Below are 4047 nucleotides of genomic sequence, written 5' to 3'. Positions count from 1 at the left end.
GCATCACAGACGGAGCCCTGTCTGCAGGGGATGGCTGCCCTGCCTAACAACTGAAACACTGGGGAGCCCAACTCCAGGCTGCTGAGCATAAGACTGAGAGTTCTGGGGTGGCTAGATCTTTTCCCTTTAAATCCTAATTACTGTACACCAGTGGGTCCCAATGTAGGATTAAACAAACATGTTTGACCACAAAAACCTATATTTCCTAACCTCGGGTGGGAAAGAGCGTGCCCAGCGGAAAGGTGTGATCCAACACACAACTGGGGAAACATTGCTGTATTGAAACCCAGAGCTGAGGCCAGAATCTTATCTGAACTGTCAACCATGCAGGGCTGTTCTGAGAATTCGATTAAATAACAGATATGAAGTTTGTGTCATATAGTATGTATTCAATATGCACCCATATGAAAATATGTGCCCTCCAGCACTTCTAAATCTTGCTAGGGGGTGAGTAGGCTGGGTGTTAATGTAGCCATTTCACAGATAAAGAAACTGGGGTTTGGAGAGATTAAATTACATGGTAATAGGGCACAGCTAGGAAGTGAGAGCCACCATGGCAGGAATTGACCTTGGCTTTTGGGCTCCAATTTCAATTAACCCAACTCACCACTTCCCAAAACAGTCAGCCTTGGTCTGGTCTTACTCACTCCACAAGCTAACATTTTACAAACACTGAGTCACAGCTTTCCCTCCCCTTGGGCTGCACCAACATACAGCATGGTCCATCACGGGCTCAGATCCCACCCTCTTCTGGGGCCCTTTATGGGAATGCACAAAGCCCAGACTTCCAGGAACAGAGTGAGTAGATAAGGCATCTACGCTGACCTAGCCTGATCCCATCAAGGGACCCGACCTGCGTGAGCTGGAGAGATCTATGACGCTGCCAAGGACCACATCAGAAAGACAATATTTGAAGAGTGAAAGGTTCTCCAAAGAATGGAAAATCCTTGGAGTGAGCGAGTGCCTGAGGTTCTTGAGGCATGACTCATGCTGGGTGGGCCAGGACATGAGCTGTAGATACCGGGTAAAAGAGGTAGCAAAATATTAATAGCAGAATGTCAGAGCTGGGAGGGATCTAGGAGATTGACTTTTCTGAGGTCACACAGATAATAAGGGGCAGCACTGAGACCTGAATCCAGATGCTCTCATTCATTCATTCATTCATTCAGTATTTACTGAGCACTTACTACAGGCCTGGAGGGAGATTAGGTACTAAGAATACAGCAGTAAACAAAACAAGCAGGCTTTCTGTCTTCCCCATAGCTGACTTTCCAGCAGGGAGGAAAGACAATTGAACAGACAATTGGTGAAAATGATGAGAAGTGCTCTGATGAGGTAGCACAGAGGAGAGTGGTCTCATTTGTCTGGCATCAAGAAAGGCCTCCTGGATTAAATCATTGCTCAGTTTAGAGCTAAAGACTAAAAAAAAACCCAGTGGAAGGGGATTTGGTAGAAGGGGAAGACTCCAGACAAAGAAGTCTCTACAGCTCAGGCACAGACTAGACCCTTATTTTGAAGCTGCATACAATATGGGTGCTTCCACACTCAAGAAGCATATGGTGCCCAAAGGAGCACAAGGAGGGACCCTCCATCTACAAGGAGGTGACAGCATCCGACTTGGATTTTAAACGATAAGTAGGATTTTAATAAGCACAGAAAAGGAGATGGATATTCCAAGGCTGAAGAGATAGCATGGGTAAAAGGCGTAGAAGAAGGGGAGCCTGTGCCAGGAATTGACCTTCCTGAAGGAGGTCAATAAATGTTTGTCCCAGCAACTGTCAGTGAAATCCTCCCAGCTGCAGATTCTCAACAGCCATTGCTTCAGTACAGCACAAAGAAAGGGAGGGCCCTGCATCACTGTCCACACTTGCTGCCCCATGCTGTCCCATGGCCGGCACAGCCACAGCAGCCTAGCAGCTAGCATCCATGGGCTCCCCAGTGTCCCCAACCCTAAAGACCCCAGTGGGCCAGGAAATAGAAGAAACACAATCTTTCAAGTAATTAATATCCCATGATAATGGGATAAACGGGGCAGATATGACGTCTAACAGAAGGATGAAAATTCTAATGCCCCATCCAGCCTCACAGATAACAAACACATTAAAGAAAGCAGTGCTAAAGATCAACAGCCTCAGTGATTGATTAGTGAAAATCAGGGTGGGGCTTTCTTGGGGGCACAAAGACAGTGCTGCTTCTAGTTCATGCCTCCATTTGCAAGGGCTGAAAGGGGAGAGAGCCAAACAAACCCACACGTTCATCTCTGGAGCTTTGAGACTGTGAGTCCAGGACACTCCTGAGCCCTCTGCACAACAGGCAAGGCATTTAAAAGAGACTTCTAGAAGAACAAACTGCAGCATTTGTATCTTGCGGTGCATTCCTGTGTGTCAACCTCCGTGATAGAATATTTATGAGCTGTGCTTGGTACAAAATATGGTGCCCAACCACTACAGAGGTGGAATGCTGAATTTCAGACTTTTTAAATAAATCTTTTCTGGACTTGTTTGCAGACTGAGATTGCAGTTTGTTTTTTAACTCGAATGCTATGCTTATGATACTAAAGAATTTAGTTTTAAATAAAAATTTGTATTGTACTTAAAACCATAATAATTACTAAGAGTTATTGAATGCTAAGTTTAGGTGATCTAGGCACAGCATTGCTAATGTTTACAACACCCCTGATAGATAGCCCTCCCCCGTACCCCCAGTTTTAGAGATGAATCCTGGAGGGGCTTAGAAACGGGTCTCTGTTTCCAAAGCCCATGTTCTTTCCATTAAGCAGTACAAGAGGAGGAGGTGGGTAGGTGGACTCTTGCCTGGGATACAGGGAACTGCCTGGTTAGCTGACATATGAGGCATAGAATGGGAGCAGCAAGGGATGCACCTAGAAAGGGAAGAGGATGCCTATCCGGAGCCTGCATGATCCCATGGAAGATGTTGCAGGAACCACAAAGCAGAAGTGCAGTGCCTCTTCCCAAACAGCCTACAGACCCAGAACCCAACTTCAAGTTTGAGGCTGAGAGCTCCCTTTAGGGAAGGACGAACAAGCCCTTATTTCTCAACCCTGCAGACACAGTGCTAATGATAGTAGGATAAGCCATTCCCACCCCGTGCTCTCACATTGTCTCCAACCCTATCAGACTGTATTGTGATAATCTGTTTTCCTGTCTTGTGGACCATGGCTCTTTCCAACTGCTCCTCTCTTAATTTCAGACAGCTCAATACCAGAGACTCAGGTGTGTGTTCCTGGAGCCCTAACCACTGCCTCAGATCGAAATGTCAGCCAAGGACATGTATATCTCCCTGGTTCCAGCAATCCCTACTTTAGGCCAGCTAAGCTTCTTTGTTTACATTTCTGCATCTGTAGCTGAGTGGACAGCAGTACTCTGTCTGGGGAGAAGGGGAAAGTGTAGAACAGCCGGTTCTAGGAGCTAGTCAGTACCCACTCAGCTATAGAAACTATTAAAATTTTATAACCCAGCATCTGCCCAGGAGCTGATAGGGCAGAAGCCCTGTGTGTGAATTACATTGTGCTCCTGAATAAGATTCATTCATACATTTCTGTATTCATTTACCTGTGGTGTTTTAAGCCTTGTGTTGGACCCTGGGGACGAGGAAGATGTGGGTCATAGTCAAGATTTTTCTGACTTCCTTTTTCCTTTCAAGCAGTTTAACAGCTTCCTGCCCCAGTGTCCAGAGCTTCCCTATCTCAATATCATCGGCAGTATCATCGGCACCTTTGCTCACCTTTACTGAGTACTTACCATGCATGTAAGTACGGGTAAGCACATGTAACATGCATGCAAGCACAGGTAAGCTCATGTAACATGCATGCAAGCACAGGTAAGCACATGTAACATGCACATAAGACCAGGAATGGTGTCCTGTGCTAAGAGCTTCCTACTGTTTATCTTAGTTGATCTTTACCATAACCATAAGCTAGATAGTATTGTTAGCCCATTTTACGGATAAGGAGACTGAAGCACACCTATTCATTCATTGCACAAATATTTAATCAAAAACCTGTCCAAAGTACAGAATAGTCTCTGA

The 4047-nt window shown here is 45.6% G+C and overlaps 1 annotated feature.

Annotated features, from left to right (window-relative positions):
• Positions 269 to 1468: an enhancer, noted in NCBI's record as "P300/CBP strongly-dependent group 1 enhancer chr1:55894365-55895564 (GRCh37/hg19 assembly coordinates)". NCBI's record gives its function as "activates an origin of replication core promoter dependent on BRD2, BRD4, P300/CBP, MED14 and CDK7 cofactors, with strong dependence on P300/CBP, by STARR-seq in HCT116 cells {active_cell/tissue: HCT116}" and the evidence as "EXISTENCE:reporter gene assay evidence [ECO:0000049][PMID:35650434]".

The sequence above is a fragment of the Homo sapiens genome, chromosome 1 (genome assembly GCF_000001405.40).
Source record: "Homo sapiens chromosome 1, GRCh38.p14 Primary Assembly".
In the NCBI taxonomy this organism is placed as follows: domain Eukaryota; kingdom Metazoa; phylum Chordata; class Mammalia; order Primates; family Hominidae; genus Homo; species Homo sapiens.
The sequence above is the reverse complement of the archived record's forward strand: the minus strand, read 5'-3'. Positions and strand labels throughout refer to the sequence as shown.